The sequence below is a fragment of the Homo sapiens genome, chromosome X (genome assembly GCF_000001405.40).
Source record: "Homo sapiens chromosome X, GRCh38.p14 Primary Assembly".
Taxonomy (NCBI): Eukaryota; Metazoa; Chordata; class Mammalia; order Primates; family Hominidae; genus Homo; species Homo sapiens.
Genome location: NC_000023.11, coordinates 22,072,698 through 22,090,777, shown reverse-complemented (window position 1 = coordinate 22,090,777; position 18,080 = coordinate 22,072,698). Strand labels below are relative to the sequence as shown.

At 38.2% G+C, this 18,080-nt stretch overlaps 1 protein-coding gene across 6 annotated transcripts in view; it reads right to left on the bottom strand.

The window, feature by feature from the left end:
- Window positions 1-18,080, bottom strand: part of PHEX (phosphate regulating endopeptidase X-linked) — a 218,986-nt gene that overhangs the window by 160,533 nt on the left and 40,373 nt on the right. For 4 of the 6 annotated variants that reach the window (NM_000444.6, NM_001282754.2, XM_047442159.1 and 1 more), the window contains exons 4-6: window positions 14,304-14,390; window positions 13,076-13,302; window positions 281-349 (exon numbers count right to left, since the gene is read on the bottom strand). In NM_000444.6, the coding sequence (NP_000435.3) occupies window positions 281-349; window positions 13,076-13,302; window positions 14,304-14,390 (383 nt within the window). Of the gene's footprint in view, window positions 1-280; window positions 350-4,484; window positions 4,519-13,075; window positions 13,303-14,303; window positions 14,391-18,080 lie in introns of those variants that run through there. The other 2 variants (XM_011545533.2, XM_017029579.2) reach the window with 2 other exon arrangements.

Sequence of the window (18,080 nt, the reverse complement as noted above, 5' to 3'; positions counted from 1 at the left end):
TGAATGACTGCAAGCTCATTTCTTTGTTACTTCATTTGGGAGTGCTGTCTCCCAAGCTAGATAAGGGCATTGAGTACTGAGACTTGTACAGCCTTGATGAGCAGACTTCTAGAAAGACAGGGAGTGGAATTTATCTGCCTGAATAAAAGTCTTCCTGCATTGGGAATATGGTCATTGAATAGCCACACTGCTCATTTCCAATAAAGAAGCAGCGGCCTTAGAACTAATGGGCCTGACAGCAGCCTGGTAAGGCACATAGTTGAATATGAGTAAAACTTACAGACTTGGCTTCTGTACTGTTATCAAGGTAGTCTTCCCTCACGGCCAGGGAGAGTGTTGCTTGGTCCAGCTGTAAAAACAAAAACAGAAAGCATTCTGCTAGCACTGTAAATTCTTACGTACCATGTTAACAAGAGTGATGAAATCGTCTGCATCCCAGCCATATTTTGAGCTCATGTCACCATTACAAAAACAATTCAGTACACTCAGAATTACATGCAAATAGGCACTTTGGCAATGACAGATATAATAAACTATCAGAGACCTGCCCCTGCTTTTCTAATTTATGTTTTCTAAACCTTTTGAGGTCCTATCAACACTGAATAACAACAAGGCTATTTCAGTTGGAATAGATCTTAGAGATTATTAGCTATTCTCCCTTATTCAATGGGAGGAGAAACAAAAGCCAGATAATTGTTGTGACTTTCCCAAGGTAACATGATTGGGCAGAGCTCAGACTAAAATCGTTGTCTCCTATCACCAGTTCCAGTATTTTTCTCATTGCAGTGTTTTGCAAAATGCCAATCTGTATAGAGTTGATTAATCAGACGTTTCCAACTCCTTATCTCTAAAATAACATATGGCATTGATTTTTTTTTATTTGAATGGAATCAAATAATAATTTTGTTTTGAGAAACCTTCGCAAATGTTAGAACCCTCTCTGGAAGGTTTAGGATAAGTGATAAAAACACAAATAATAACCAGACAACTAAATAAGTAGAATTACAGTGATAGAAAAGTATAGTATAAATTCTTGAATTAAAACTTTCAGCACCTTAGGCTGGTGTGGTGGCTCACACCTGTAATCCCAGCACTTTGGGAGGCCAAGGTGGGTGGGTCACTTGAGGTCAGGAGTTTGAGACCAGGCTGGCCAACGTGGTGAAACCCCGTCTCTACTAAGAATATAAAAATTAGCCAGGTATGGTAGCGTGTGGCTGTAATCCCAGCTACTCAGGAGGCTGAGGCAGGAGAATTGCTTGAACCTGGGAGATGGAGGCTGCAGTGAGCAGAGATCACGCCACTACACTCCAGCCTGGGCAACAGAGCAAAACTCTGTCTCAGGAAAAAAAAACAAAAAAAACAAAAAAAAAACAAAAAAAACTTTCAGCACCTTAAAGGTAAACAAAAGAAAGAAGACAGTCTTTTCAAAGAGCGTGTTAGAAAAACTGGACATCCAGGCCTTGTGTGGTGGCTCATGCCTGTAATCCCAGCACTTTGGGAGGCCAAGGCAGGCAGATCACTTGAGGTCAGGAATTCAAGGCCAGCCTGGCCAACACGGTAAAACCCAGTCTCTACTAAAAATACAAAAATGAGCCAGGTGTGGCGGCACGCACCTGTAATTCTAGCTACTTGGGAAGCTGAGGCAGGAGAATCACTTGAACCCAGGAGGCGGAGGTTGCAGCAAGCTGGGATGGCGCCACTGCACTCCAGCCTGGGTGACAGAGTGTGACTCCATCTCAAAGAAAAGAAAAACTGGGCATCCATAAGCAAAAAGAAAATAAACCTTTACACATACCTCACACCTTAGTCAAAAATTAACTGAAAATGAATCATAGCCCTAAATGTAAAACCTAAAACTATAAAACTTCTGGAAAAAATATTGGGAAAAATTTTTGTTACTAGGGGTTAGACAAAGAGTTTTTAGACATGACAATAAAATCACAATCCTTAAAAGAAAAAATAAATTAGACTTTATCGACATTGAACAAATTTGCTCTTGAAAGAAACTTAACAGAATAAAAAGACAAGCCACAGAATGGGGAAAATATCTGAAAATCACATATATGACAAAGGACGTGTATCTAGAATACATAAAGATTCCTCAAAACTCAACCATAAGAAAAGAAACAACTCAATTTAAAATTGAGCAAACGATTCTAACAGACACTTCATCAAAGAACATATGAAGATAGAAAATAAGAACACGAAAATATGCCCAACATCATTAGTCATTAGGAAAATGTAAATTAAACCCACAATAAAACACTACCATAGATCTGTTAAAATGGAAAAAAAAATCTGACAACTGCTGGTGGGGACGTGGAAAAGTTGGATCACTCATGTATTACTGGTAAGAATGCAAAATGGCACAGCCACTTTGGAAGGAAACCAATTTTACAGTTTCTTATAAAGTTCAACATACATTTACACAAGAGCCAGCAATCCTACTTCTAGGTATTTACCCAGGAAAAAAATTTAAAGTCACACAAAAACCTGTATGTAATTTTATTCAATATCACCCAAAACTGGAAACAACCCAAATGTCCTCCAATTCATGAAAGCATAAACTGTGGTATACAATGGAATACTACTCAACAATAAAAGAGAATGAACTGATACAACATGGGTGAATTTTACTTACATCCTGAAAAAGCCAAACTTTACAGGAACAGGGAACAAAGTGATGGCTAACAGGGTTTGGGCATGAGGAGAGGGCTTGACTTAGCAAAGGGATAACATGAGGTATTTGGGGGTGGATGATGGGACTATTCTATTTCTTGATTACAGTGGTGGTTACATGACTCTATGCATTTGTCAAAACTTAGACATGTACATCACAAAAAATGAATTTATGTAAATTTTAAGATACTTTAAAAAAATTTCCAGCACCTTCTCTAAATCTGTGGTTTGTTCTTTCTTGAATATCAGCAACTGACTAAAGATAAATAAAATGAATCTCAAGAAGAGTAGATTTTTCCAAATTAAATCTCTAATTCACACATTAAACATTAAGCCAAAATAATAAGAAACAAAATCTAAACAACAAATTAAAAATTAGTAATATCTGAATAAAAACTGAATCCTACATGCCCATACCATTAGTTTATATGACTTTAAACTGTTTTGACCCATCTCCTCCAGCTTCTTTTTCGTCTTACTATAATCTTAAATACATAAATTTGTATAAGATTACAGTTTTCCATGAAACTGCCCTTAATATACAACAAATTTTACAAAGGCCACGTTAAGAATTAGTGATATTATGAAAAATTCCAGGAAAAACATAACTCTTGTTTCAGGGGAAAAAAGGCACTTTCAAAACACCCATCTTGTCTGTGTATACTGCTAAAATCCTCAAATTATTTTGTTCAACCCTCTCTCATTGGCCTGAAACAACAAAGTCACAAGCCTTCCTGGCTTCGTCCTACTGCAATTCCCAATCTGCCACTATTTCTTCCAAAAATTAAGCAAGCCACGATCATGAAACACAATATTATGATTAAGACACTTTGGCTTTCAATTAAATTTGGACCACTTGAAGAATCTTTTGAGCTTGAGTCTCATAGGAAAGGAAACTGTGTAGATATTATCAAGAAAGCCAAAGTTTCCCTCTCATGAAATAAAGTTAAATCCACTTATTGTAAAAGTTTAGATAATTCAAGTGAGGTTACCAGACCTTTTATAAACTTTCAGATTGTTATGGTTTCTAGGGAACATTTTAAACACACCAACCAACAAATTGAATAAGGTCAGTCAAATAAATCTCATTAGAAACATACAAACTCTTGAGGCAAAAGACTTTCTCATGAAGCAATCAGGACACTGCGTTGAGATTTTTTAAATCCTTGCATTTACAACTGATCTAAATACTGTAAGCAGAAAATAAAGTATGTTTTTTAGGAAATCCAACACATTTAACTGAAAATATAAATGTTTTCTCCAATTACAACTGGCATTCCAATGATAATAAACCTCAAGTTAGAAGACAAAGTAGTAATACAAGAAGAAAGAGCTTACAAATTTTGAGGTAGGAAATGGAGTCTGGACTTCAGGTTTCAAAATGGTGGTGGAGACAGAAGCTGGCTTCCCTCCCCACCCCAACATATACACAGGAAACTAAAAACAAATATACAGCACTAAGATTCTCACCAGCAATATCCCAGAACTCAAATATAAGGATGAATCAGTTGCTGAGGCCACAGAGAAGTGAAAAAACTCCAAGCAGACAAAGGATAATAAAATTTCTCTATGATGCCCTTCCAACCAATCTGTCCAGCAACAAGCCTGCAGAAATTTTCCCTGACTCATAGTTTCTACACTGGAAAAAGTGAGATCAAGGTGGACAACCAGCTTCCTGACCATCTTGGGTTCTTTGACAGAAGACCTGCCCATACCTTAACCCACAGAAGGCATCATGAGTGCCTGAAGGGAGATATATTTCTGAAGACAGCAAGAGACAAAGAGGGGAGGTGGGACTACCATACCCAGCCCTGGAAACTCTGCTCCGTAACTCGGCCAAAGGAGACACCAAATCAGAGTGGCTGTTCAGCAGCATTATGCTATAGGAGGTTCATTCCAAAGGTCACCTGTACACTAGCCGCCAGCCAGCTTTTCCACACTGCCAGGATATCCTCTTTAGGACCTCCCCTATATCTGGACTGGGAGTGCTCTGATCTTGGGCTAGAGTCAAAGCAAACGTAGGCTTAAGGTGCCATTTAGTGCCAGAAAAAAAGGCAAGGACCTAGTGGAGATATAGCAATATACTGCCTATCTCAATTATAAATACCTATGCACCCAACACTGGAGCACCTAAGTATATAAAGCAAATATTAACAGATCTAAAGGGAGAGGGAGACTGCAATACAGTAATGATAGGGAACTTCAACACTCCACTCTAATGGATAGATCATCTAGACAATCAACAAAGAAACATCAGCGTTAAACTAGACACTAAGCCAAATAGGCCTAACTGACATTTACAGAACATTTCACCCAATTGCTGCAGAATACATATTCTTTTTATCACCATGTGGAACATTCTCCAGGATAGATCATATTTTAAGCCACAAAGTAAGTCTCCACAAATTCAAAGAAGCAGAAATCATATCAGTTATCTTTTCTGACCACAATGGAACTAAAAATCAATAATAAGAGGAAACTTGGAAAATACACAAACACATGGAATCTTTTTTTTTTTTTTTTTGAGATGGAGTCTCGCTTTGTTGCCCAGGCTGGAGTGCAGTGGCATGATCTCAGCTCACTGCAACCTCCACCTCCCAGGTTCAAGCAATTCTCCCACCTCAGCCTCCCGAGTAGGTGGGATTACAGGTACCCGACACCATGCCTGGCTAATTTTTGTATTTTTAGTAGAGACAGAGTTTCACCATGTTGGTCAGGCTGGTCTCAAACCCCTGACCTCAGGTGATCCACCTGCCTCGACCTCCCATAGTGCTGGGATTACAGGCATGAGCCACCATGCCTGGCCAAACACGTGGAAATTAAACAATATGCTCCTGAATGACCAATGGGTCAATGAAAAAAATAAAAATGAAATTTAAAAATTTCTTTAAACAAATGAAAATGAAATTACAACATATTAAAATCTATGAAACACAGCCAAAGGAGTACTGAAAAGGAATTTTATAGCAATAAAAGCCTACATCAAAAAGGTTGAAAGACTTCAAATAACAATTCATAAACAATCTAATGATACAACTCAAGGAACTAGAAAAATAAGAACAAACCAAACCCCAAATTAGTAGACAGAGATAATAAAGATTAAAATAGAAATAAATGAAATGTAGACTATAAAAACACCAAAAAAAATTAATGAAAAAAGTTGGCTTTTTTTTTGAAAATCAACAAATCTTTAGCTAGACTAACAATAAAAGAGAGAAGACACAAATAAATAAAATCAGAAATGAAAAAGAAGACACAACTGAGACCACAGAAATACAAAGAATTATAAAGACTATTATGAACAGCTATATGCCAACAAAGTGGAACATCTAGAAGAAATGAATAAATTCCTGGACATATGCAACCTACCAACATTGAACCATGAAGAAGTAGAAAACCTCAACAAACTAATACCTAGTAGCAAGATTGAAGCCATAATAAAAGGTCTCCCATCAAAGAAAAGCCCAGGACTTGATGTCTTCACTACCAAATTCTACAAAACATTTAAAGAAGCAATACAAATTATATTCAAACTCTTCCAAAAAAAAAAAAAAAAAAACTGAAGAGAAGGGAATACTTCCAAACTCATTCTATGAGTCCAGCATTACCCCGATACCAAAACTGCACAAGGACACAAGGAGAAAAGAAAACTACCAGCCAATATGACTTAGGAACATAGATGCAAAAATTATCAACAAAATACTAGCTAACCTAATTCAACAATACATGAAAAAGATCATTCACTATGATTGAGTGGGATTAATCCAGGGATGCCAGGATAGTTCAACATACACAAATCAATAGACATGATATGCTGGGTGCAGTGGCATGCACCTGTAGTACCAGCTACTCAGGAGGCTGAGGCTAGATGATCACTTGAACCCAAGTCCAGCCTGGGCAGCATAGTGAGATCCCATCTCAAAAAAAATAAATTAAATGGAAAATCCAAATTCAAGTACATAAATATAAACACATCACATTAACAGAACCAGGAACAAAAATCACATAATCATTCTAATACATTCTGTAAAAGCATTCAATAAAATTCAACATCCCTTTATGACAAAAACCCTCAACAAACTGGGTACAGAAGGAACACACCTCAAAAAGTAAAAGCCATATCTGACAAACACATAACCAACATCATACCGAATGGTGAAAAATTAAAAGCCTTTCTTTTAAGATGTAGAACAAGACAAGGATGCCTGTTTTGTCCTCTTTTATTCAGCGCAATACTAGAAGTCCTGGCCAGAGCAATTAGGCAAGAGAAATAAATAAAGGGCATCCAAACTGGAAAGGAAGAAGTCAAATTAGCCTTGTACAGAGATAACATGATCTTATATTTGGATAAACCTAAAGGCTCTACCAAAAAACTATTAGAACTGATCAACAAATGTAGTAAAGTTCGAGTATACAAAATCAACAGCATTGTATACACCAAAAGCAAATAATCTGAAAAAGAAATCAATAAACAATATCATTTACAATATAAAACACCTAGGAATCAATTTAACCCATGAAATAAAAGATTCATGTAAAGAAAACTATAAAATGTTGATGAAAGAAGTTGAAAAGGACACAAAAAAATGGAAGGATACTCCATGCTTATGAATTAGTAGAATATTGTTAAAATGACAATACCACTGAAAGCAATTTACAGATTCAACACAACCTCTATCAAAATACCATTGACATTCCTCACAAAATAGAAAAAACAAATCCTAAATTTTATATGGAACCACGAAAGACCCCAAATAGCCAAAGCGATCCTGGGCAAAAATAACAAAGCTGGAGAATCACATTACCTGACTTCAAAATATAGTACAGGGCCTATGTCTGGAATGGTATTTCCTAGGTTTTCTTCAAGGGTTTTCACAGTTTTAGGTTTTACATTTACATCTTTAATCCATCTTGAGTTGATTTTTGTATATGATAAAAGGGATGGGTCCAGTTTCAATCTTCTGCATATGGCTAGCCAGTTATCCCAGCACCACAGTCCTTTACCCATTGCTTGTTTTTGTAGACTTTATCAAAGATCAGATGGTTGTTGGTGTGCAGCTTTATTTCTGGGCTGCTTCCATTGATCTATGTATCCGTAGTTGTACCGGCCACACTGTTTTTGTTACTACAGCCTTATACTATAGTTTGAAATCGGGTAATGTGATGCCTCCAGCTTTGTTCTTTTTGCTTAGGATTGCTTTGGCTATTCGGGCTCTGTTTTGATTCCATATGAATTTTAGAATAGCCTTTTTCTAATTCTGTGAACAATGTCATTGGTAGTTTGATAGAAATAGCATTGAATCTGTAAATTACTTTGGGCAAGATTCCATGATGAAGATGCCCAAAACAATTGCAACAAAAACAAAAAATGACAAACGGGACTTAATTAAACCAAAGAGCTTCTGCACAGCAAAAGAAGCTATCAACAGAATAAACAGACAACCCACAGAACGGCAGAAAGTATTTGGAAACTGTGCATCCGACAAAGGTCTAATATCCAGAATTTACAAGGAACATAAACAAATTTATAAGCAAAAACCAAACAACCCCATTAAAAAGTAGACAAAGGACATAAACAGACACTTTTCAAAAGAAGACATACGTGTGACCAACAAGCATATGAAAAAAAGCTCACCATCACTAATCGGTAGAGAAATGTGAATCAAAGCCACAATGAGATACCATCTCACACCAGTCAGAATGGTTATTATCAAAAAGTCAATAAATAATAGATGTTGGCATGGATATAAGGAAAAAGAAACTCTTATACACTGCTGGTGGGAATGTAAATTAGTCCAGCCACTGTGGAAAGCAGTTTGGTGATTTCTGAAAAAACTTAAAACAGAACTACCATTTGACCCAGCAATCCCATTATTGGATATATCCCAGTTACCATGATTTGATTATATGAATGTATCAGATTATCACATGTACCATGAAAATGTGTAGTTACGTATCAATAAAAAATAACAATAATAAAATAAAATTCTATGTTCTGTCAGTTCCTGAGAAAAAAAGGAAAAGGAAAGAGAATGAAACTTTTCAAATTTTCTTGGAGTTTCTCCTTGCCATTTTTTACGAGTTTTGCTGAGAGCCAGAAAAATGCAGGCTGTTGTGAGATGATGACTTTAAGTTGTTGTCTTCATTAACTAGTAATACATACTGGGACATCCTTGGCCTTCCAAATACTCTTTCAGGATCACATATACTCACGTCTTTTATTGTCCCTTAAATCCTCATACTATCTCCTGACATAGAATAAATCCAAACGTGTGCAGCAAGATAATGTTTTTGGTCACTAACTTCTGTTGTTTTCTTTATTTTTGGAATTCCTTTACCTCATTTAAGCCTGTAGCAAACCCTGTATCATTTTGCCACAGGGGAGCTTTGCAGAAGTACGCTGTGTAGATTAGAGCGACCCCTGCTGGCCAAACTGCATGTCTTTGGCATGGGGATATATCTAACCCTTAGAAAGGGTGCCTGTCTCTTCACCCAAAGGCACCATCTGCTCACCCAAAAGGATGCCCACAGTGCTGTGCCTGCCCAAAAGGCCCTTCTCTTATTCCTGTGGGTTTGTGGGATTAGAAAAGCTAAGCACACCGAAGAAAATTGAATTCGATGGAAAAGGAAGCCTAACGACATTGAGGGAAGAGAGTTTCAGGTAAGAGGGATTTCTCCCAGAGCAGAAAGAGGATCTTTCAAGCAGCAAAAGAAGTCAAGAATTCTCATGAGCAGAGGAACTGATCACCCCAAAACATGGCAGGATCTGAGAAGGAATGGGAGTCGCAGGACCTCAGCATCAGAGGGGCACACTTGAAGAGGCTACATGGTTCCATAGTGGGTTTCTTCTCAGAAACCAGATAACTGGTTATTGCAGTTTCCCAATACCCTAGGAAAAGACCGAGAAATGGGGCCACCAAGAGGGGAGGTAAATGCCTAGACTAAGGTTCAGTTTCCCACCAAAAGGTTGGGTGGGAGCTAAAAGTCAAATATTAGGTTGAGTAAACAAAATTCCTATTCCTTGCACTACTGAGTTTGAGCTCTGAGAGGCATATCGGGTACCACATGTCAAAGAAAAACATTCTCCAAATGGTCCTGACCAGTTGCTGGGTCATGCTTGAAGAGTAGGTTCGGAACCTTGTGTCGTGTGCTACTGTGGACCAGTATCTACAGTGAAAACTGTCACAAAAGTCAATTCATTTGAACGTCAATGACGATTAAAAGTAAATTCTAATTCACCCTTCCGTACACATGGGAAAAGTGAAATCAGCGAGGTGAAGTAATTTGCACGAGGATATTCGGTGAGTACATCACAAAGCTAAACTGCAAACCTCAATCTTTTAAATACCAAAGCCTATTATTTTTTTTGTTTGTTTTTTAACTATACCAGTAGTTTTCAAACTATGTTCCACAAAACCTATAAGTGGGGGGGGCTTCAAATGTTCATCCAATTAGATTTTGTCTTTTATAGTTTTAACTATTTTTAAATGAATAAAAAAGCAACACTTGCAAATTCTACAACTTTGGCAGCCACCAGTACGCTAATTTTTGTTATCAGGTTCAATGGGTTTCATGCAGCTCTCAGAATAAAACTTCTCCTACCACCTCCAGATACATGCTCGAACTCTTGTAAATGTGTCATCAGGAAGACTATAATTATATTATATCTGAGGGAAGGCAATTAGTTCAGATGTGTGAATATTCAGTCATGGAAAAAGGTACAAACAGGAACAGAACTTAAGCAAACGTTTGCCGCACTCAAATGCCAAACAATGTTCAAACACCAGTTTGGAACAAGCTGCCATCTTGACAAAAGAGAGCAATAATAAGTACATGGGTGCCTCCTTACATTTGGAAAGTATTCTATCATTGACATTTTAGTGTTTCTAGGATCAGTTTAATTGAATATTAAGTATACAAGGCAAGCTATTAAAAATTGGTTACCATGTTTCTCTATTCCCCATGTTTTCTGTAAGCTCCTCTTAAAACTAGAGGCTCAATTGTGGGGGCACGACAACATCACTGGTGATAGTGTGCACTTCCTACTGATACCAGGAGGCACACAATATCTGGTTGCCCCACTTTTAGCAATGCTATCATTGATATTAGGGTTCAGGTGATATCGGTCTGATATCATGAATTTCCCAATCAACCATTTACCTAATGGTTTTAGCAGCCATTGATGATAATTGCCTAGATCAATCCTTTCCTTAGGGATTTTTTTTTAAATAGATAGCTTCCTATTATTTCTTCTGCATTTTTAAGCTGTGATTCTCCTATAAACAAGAACTTTCATCAGCTATTAGATTACCCTGAAAACAGTCAAATTCAGAATGTAAGACAGTTTACAGGACAAATACTCCAGTTTCTTCAACAAATAAATGTGGTTTAAAAAACAAAAATAGGGGGATCCCTTGTGGAGTAAAACAGACATATCAACTAAGTTCACCTGTGATTTTTATTTGGAGATTGAATCAAAGACCAACTGTTTTTTTTTTTAAGGACATGTTTAAGACAATCAGAAAAATTGAAAATTAACTAGTTATTAGATGTTAATTATGGAATTATGATTATCTTTTTGGTTGTGATAATAGTCCTTTCCACTAGCTAAGCACTGAAGTATTTACTATGCAATGATATATTTTTAATTTGCTATAAAATGTTCTAGCCACCTCCCAAAAAAGGAGGGCTCTAGATTAAAACATAACTGCAGAAAGAAACATAACATCAGAAGGTTGAGAGTTGTTGAAGCTGGGTTGATGGATACATGGGAGTTTATTTTTCTATTCTTTAATTTTGTACCACATTTTAATAATAAAAAGTTTAAAGCAATAAATTCAATTGAATAGATCCAGAAATAGGTGAGAAAGATAATAAAATGGCTACCGTTTGCAATTATTCATCTGTGTGTGAATCAAGATCTTCTATCACTCAATAGAATGTATAAACTTAAACTTAAGTTTGGAAAACAGCCTTCAGCTTACTTCAAAACACCAACTTAAGGTGTTTGAAAGAACATCATAATAGTTCTGGAACTGATAATGATAGTCTTAAAACCTAGTTTCAAAAAATGAGTGATATATCAACACAGTACAGAGATCAGTTGGGTCGTCATCATCATTGTGTCTTACATAGCACATCTTATCCTGATAGCATTAGAAGATGGCTCATTTCATCACCAAACATAGAAACACAGTTGTCTCTGGAACTCAGAATTTCCTCCTGAGTAGAGGGGAGTCCTTTCAATGACCAAAGATTTTTACTGAGAATTCCATTGTCTAACCTAGAGGTGAGAAAACTACAGCCACTGGGCCAGCCCGCCATACAGCCATACCTTTGTTGTCTGCAGTTGCTTTCCCAGACACAATGGCAGAATTAAGTAGTTGCAACAGAGACCAGACGGCCTGCAAACCCTAAAATATGTATTATCTGGCCCTTTACCCAAAAAATGTGCCAATCTCTGATCAAACGATGACCAGCTTCAATCAAACGATGAACTTTAAGATTTGGATTTTAGAAGGTTAAAATGCATGAGGTGAGGGCAATACATGTCTACAATTTGAATATCAATATTTCATTAATATTTTCTGATTTGACTAAGGACAGAATTGGGGAGAAAATCAGTCATGCAATAACATTTTCATTATTAGTCAAAGTAACTGTGGAAGCAAAACAAAACAAAACCCAGCAGGATCAAAGCACAAAACTATTTGACGAATGTTATTTGAATTCTTGCATAGCTCTTTCATTGGTGAGTCTTTAGCTGTTGGTAGTTTTCTGACAGCCTCCTGATTTTACCAGTGTGAAATGCCTCAGGGTATGTCCATGTGGCCCATTGCTTTATGGGAGACATGGTTAGTCTTCCAACAGAAAACGCAACCAAGCACTTGGAACAGAACAAGTTTTGCTGTATCTTTGGAAAGGAGGGAGGAGAGATTCAGAGTGAAGTTGATAACTAAAATTTAGGTGTGTGCACAAGAAAATGTTAGTGAAAGAGGAACAAAAAATCATGGCACGTGTTTTCTCCTCTATCAAGGGAGTGAGGAGGCAAGGACAAGAGCAGGGCTCAGAAAATCTCTGCTAACAACAGGAGACCTGCAGTCCCCTTCCCACTGGAATTTAGGAACCCTAGGCTTGCTCTGAGTAGGCATATGAGGGCCAGATCACAGATCACTTGAAACTAATTCACTAGTTTTCCAAAAGGCTTACAAAACTTGTATGGTAATGGTCTACATTCTGCAAAGCCGGGAGAAGGGAATATTCTGGATTCTACTATTCAATAAAAGTGTTTTATGTTATTATTTCACTAAGGCAGCATGAGTCTCTTTCCCCAGGATGGCACCCCAAAAGGCTAATCTAGGACTGAGCAAAGAAGATGAATGGGTCCTCATTATACCTTCAAGATATGTTCATTGGATGCTTTGTCATCAGGGGACACATACAAACGGATGAACACAGAATTGCTGTATTGACCACGAAACGTTGCAAGTGTCTGCAGAAGGCTGAACTTTCTCTCTGACCAAACCCCTTCAGGGCCAATATTAGATTCAAGCACGGGCCAGCGGAAAGGTGAATGCCGTAGGATGTGTAGCAGTGGCTTGGCATCTGCTTTTTCAATCGCTTCTGAAAGGGAGCAGATATGAAGAGAAAGTTAGAATTGCAAACTGGATCAGCACACTAGAATTTAAGTGCATCTTCTCAAGACAAAATTCCCATAATGCTCCAACTTAAAATTTCAGCTGTTAGGGAGTAGGTAAAAGAGGTGGGGTGGGATGAGCATAATCACAGAGACAGAACTACCTACGATCCACGCTTCAATGTGACTGTCTATACCTAGTGTTCTTGCCAGGAGAGCTGACCAGGGAAACTGCTGGATATTCACTACAATAAACATGGATTCTCTACATGGAACCCAGCCAATGAATAATACTTGGTGGGACTAAGTTACAACCCTAACTAAAGGAATGCCTCAATAAAGCCAATCACTACCCAATGAAGAAGAAGTGATGCTTCAGATTCCTGTCTTTTATTGCTCTTTTCTAGCTCACCACATGATACCCCAAATCCTAGACCAGTTGACACACTTCCCACAGGCACTGGCTTCTTCCTGTGGTGGGCTTGAGAAGGCAGACCAGGTCAAGTGGCCAGTATCTGTTCTGATTCCAATCAGACCCAAGATATTGAGACAGGGCTAAGGACCCAACAAAGATGCCTGTTAGGCTGACACAGGAACCTGGCATGCCTGGGAATCTGGATTTCTCTAGGCTCCAGTAGGTGCACTCCCTCCCAGTCTCTGTCTCAAGCCAGACTTGGCCTGGCTTCTGGATTCTCTACCAGATACAGTGGAGTTTGCCCTGCTGACTTTGTCTAAGTTTCTCAGGGAGTAAATGATACCCAAAGAATCCAACTCATATAAATAAGATTTTCTCCACCAAGCCAGTAACAACATTAACTAAGATGGGACTAGTCAAAATCCAGTCTTTCACAATCATTCCTTTAACACCTTTAAACATTAATAGAATTCTTAGTAGTTCTCTTCTTCCTCAAACAATATATTAAAACATTAATAGAACTCTAAAGGATAGGGATGGTAAATATTTTATTTAGTTTTCTTCATCACTCACTCTCATTCATGCAGGATGAATAAAGGATTTTGGCTTTCTGTATGGCTTCGGTGTCCCGCCTTCTACTGATTGATTTCTCCAAAAGTTCTGGGAAGGTTAAGAAAGGATTCATTAGTATCCACCCACATATGGTGCCAAGTTGGAAGTCATTTGATAATCACAATTCCAACCTCCAGAAAATTAAATACAAAGACAGACAACCCTGGAAAAGACAAATCTATCAAAGATATGCAGACAACAGAACAGATTCCAAGTTGCATGAGGTTCAAATAAAAACAGTTTTACATTCTCTTATCCAGGGTACTCCTAACTCAAAAGAAACCAAAAATTTAATTTCCAACTGAGAATGGATGTTCTACAGGGGTTAATTTCTTCTGCCACCTACACAAAAGGAAACAGAATTCATTTATTCAAGAACCAAAAATAACTGAATTCTGTCCCTTGTTCCTGGACCAAGTAATATTCTCAACGGAGCCAATTTCATCAGGGTTGTGTTTCTTAAGATTTCTCCACAGCCCAGCCTCTCAAGGAGGTCACCCGGAAGAAATTTCCCATTAGAAGTTTTATCCATTGTTGAATAAACATGCTGTGGACATGGAAGAAGTTCTTTAGACAGGAAATGGAAAGACAAGATTGGAAAACCTACCCGAATTGCCTGAAAACTTGCCCGTTTACACATGCAAAGTCCTAAACATCTAAGAGAGTCCGTGTGTACACAATGGTTGCCAGCACAGACATAGGCCCACCTGGAAAATAATTTTCTATTTATAAAATCACTAATAATAATGTTTGAAGGTAGAAAATGATAGTTGTCACTATTTCATTAAATAAGGAAAGAGGAAAGCCAGGACTCAATGAAAACAACCCTCTCCCGAAAAAGAGAACCTTGAACGTACTTGAGAGTATCAATCTACCAACATGAAGCCAAGATGAAAAATCCCTATGGTGACTGCAGCACCAGGGCACTGCCTTCACCGAACTATGTCAAACTGCCTTGTCAAGGCATTTGGGGAAACAGCCTAGCAGCCATCATAATCACAGTACAACAGATGTTCCTATAATACTCTGAATAGCTTCAAGACAAAATGTACGGCACTAATTAAGTTAATAAATAATTGTATATCTCCTGAAGAGGAATCTTACTTCTAAACCAGAAGTTCTACAGTTCAAAAAAAAAAAAAAAAAAAAAGCAACCCAGAGCTCCTGTCTAGTTTTTTAAAAATAAGTACCTGTACCTAAAACAAGTCCATATAACTAGATAGATTCCAGTGAAATAAATTAAATTGGGTTGGATGTGAGTATTTTCAATTATTTCAGCTTGTTTGGTGTTTTCTTTCTTGTGTATCATCATAATAATAAAATCAAGATAACTAGCCCCAAGGATTTTTTTTTTTTTTTGAAACAGAGTATCACTCTGTCACCCAAGCTGGAGTGCAGTGGCAGGATCTCAGCTCACTGCAGCCTCTGCCTCCCGTGTTCAAGCAATTCTCCTGTCTCAGCCTCCCGAGTAGCTGAGATTACAGGTGCACACCACCACACTCGGCTAATTTTTTGTATTTTTAGTAGAGATGGAGTTTCACCATGTCGGCCAGGCTGGTCTCAAACGCCTGACCTCAGGTGATCCACCTGCCTTGGCCTCCCAAAGTGCTGGGATTACAGGCATGAGCCACTGCCACCGTGCCAGGTCCCCAAGGATTTTTTAAAGGAGATTTTTTTTTAATACGCAGAAAGATCTAAAGCCATATCCACATATATTTCCATTCAAATCGGCTCCTGTACCCTTCCACTATATTGCTTACACAGTCATTAGACTATTTGGGAAACATACTTAGAAGTAAATAATCCAAATTTCATTTAGGGTTGTGATGATGTTCTGATGCTATAAGCACTCCACAGGCTAAAAAACATGAATGCCCTAAGGGCCAAACAAGCCACAGGAGCAAAAAAAACTAAAAGCATTAAATATTTACCTGTGTCTGCTTCCAAGGCATGCTATCTATCACAGGGAGGGAAAAAGAGGATCAGCAGATGCTAAATAGGGCAATCCCAAAACACTAACCATGCACAAATATCAATAATTTGTATATGTCAAAATTCTGGTTTCTGTACCAGAATTTGGCTTTTAAAACAGATTCGGCTATCACAAGTTCCTTGCCATACCCTTTTCCTTCTCTTCTTTCCTTCTCTCTGAGCCCAAGCAGACAGGAGAGCATTGATATGCAGACAGTGATGTGGCAATCAGTTGACAGCATCCATTTTATGTATCTCTGCATGTGAATTAGCAGTAAGAAGAATAAAATGTAGCCTGGAGAGTTATTAATGAGTAGAAAACAAAGCCTGCGTACCACAGGTAATTACTCAGGTTATTAAAATGTCCCCAAAGCATTGAGAAAGGCTCATGGGTCACCCATACAGGGGCATTCCAATCATAGCCTGTGTTGTTTCTTGGAGGATTTCTCAATCCCCACCTCCACCCCACCCAGGTATTTCTTACCACCTTACAACTGCAAAGGACAATAGCAGTTCATAAAACTGCAGGCCAGGCGCGGTGGCTCATGCCTGCAATCCCAGCACTTTGGGAGGCCGAGGCGGGCAGATCACAAGGTCAGGAGTTTGAGACCAGCCTGGCCAATGTGGTGAAACCCCACCTCTACTAATAATACAAAAATTAGCCGGGTATGGTGGCGCACACCTGTAGTCCCAGCTACTCGGGAGGCTGAGGCAGGAGAATCGCTTGAACCCAGGAGGCAGAGGTTGCAGTGAGCCAAGATCTCGCCACTACACTCCAGCGTGGGCGACAAAGTGTGTTTCCAAAAAAAAAAAAAAAAAAAAAAAAAAACTATAGCACAGCAAACCTCAGACTTTAAAAGTGGTTTGAGAAGTTCTTCTGATCATCAAATTTGAACATTAAGTACATATTAAGTATTTTTCTTCTCACTATGCTCCATCAAATAACTTTTTTTTAAAGGCAACATAATAGACATGTGGGAAGGGGGTGCTTTGGAATCACACAGACATGGGTTCCAGTTGCAGCTTGCTGCAACTTGCTAGCTGGAATTCGAGCGAGTTATTTAATCCCTCTAAGCCCCAGTTTCTTTATCTGTAAAGTCAAATAATAATAGTACATGCTTCCCAGGATTGTGCTGAGGATTTAAAATTTTTAATACACAGAAAGCCCCCATCTTGGTGCCTGGGCACATGATAACGGGGATCAGTAAGTGGTGACTTAAACAGGATTACAGGCAGAATTCGCCCTATACAAAACTGTCAAGTAATCAAGCTTGTTTCTAGTGCTTCCTCCATAACTGTGTTTGTTCTCCTGCTTGCTTCTCAGGATATTGTTGGCCAAAGGACTTATGCTAACCTAAGACACTGCCAGGCTGTGTGTAGGACTATTTCACAAACTGCACCTGCTATAGCCACCTTGCAAAGCCCCATGCTCTCAACATTTCCTCTGCTTCTATAGTAGAGGCAATTCTAAATGGGAAGACATATTTTGCAATCAGTGTTAACCTCCAAAAATATTCTGCTCACATTCTTCATCCTGGACAGCAAAGCATTTTCTTTTTTTATGTAAATTTTTCCAATGAAAGTACAGAAAAGTACACAAATAATACAACATACAGAAAAGTACACAGATCATAATGTGAAGAATGTTCACAAAGTTAACACGCTCAAGTAACCAGCATTATTACTGGAACCCCAAAAGCCCCTTGTGCTCCCTTCCAATCACTAACCCCAAGCAAGAAAATTAACATCCTCTATGGTAAAATACTT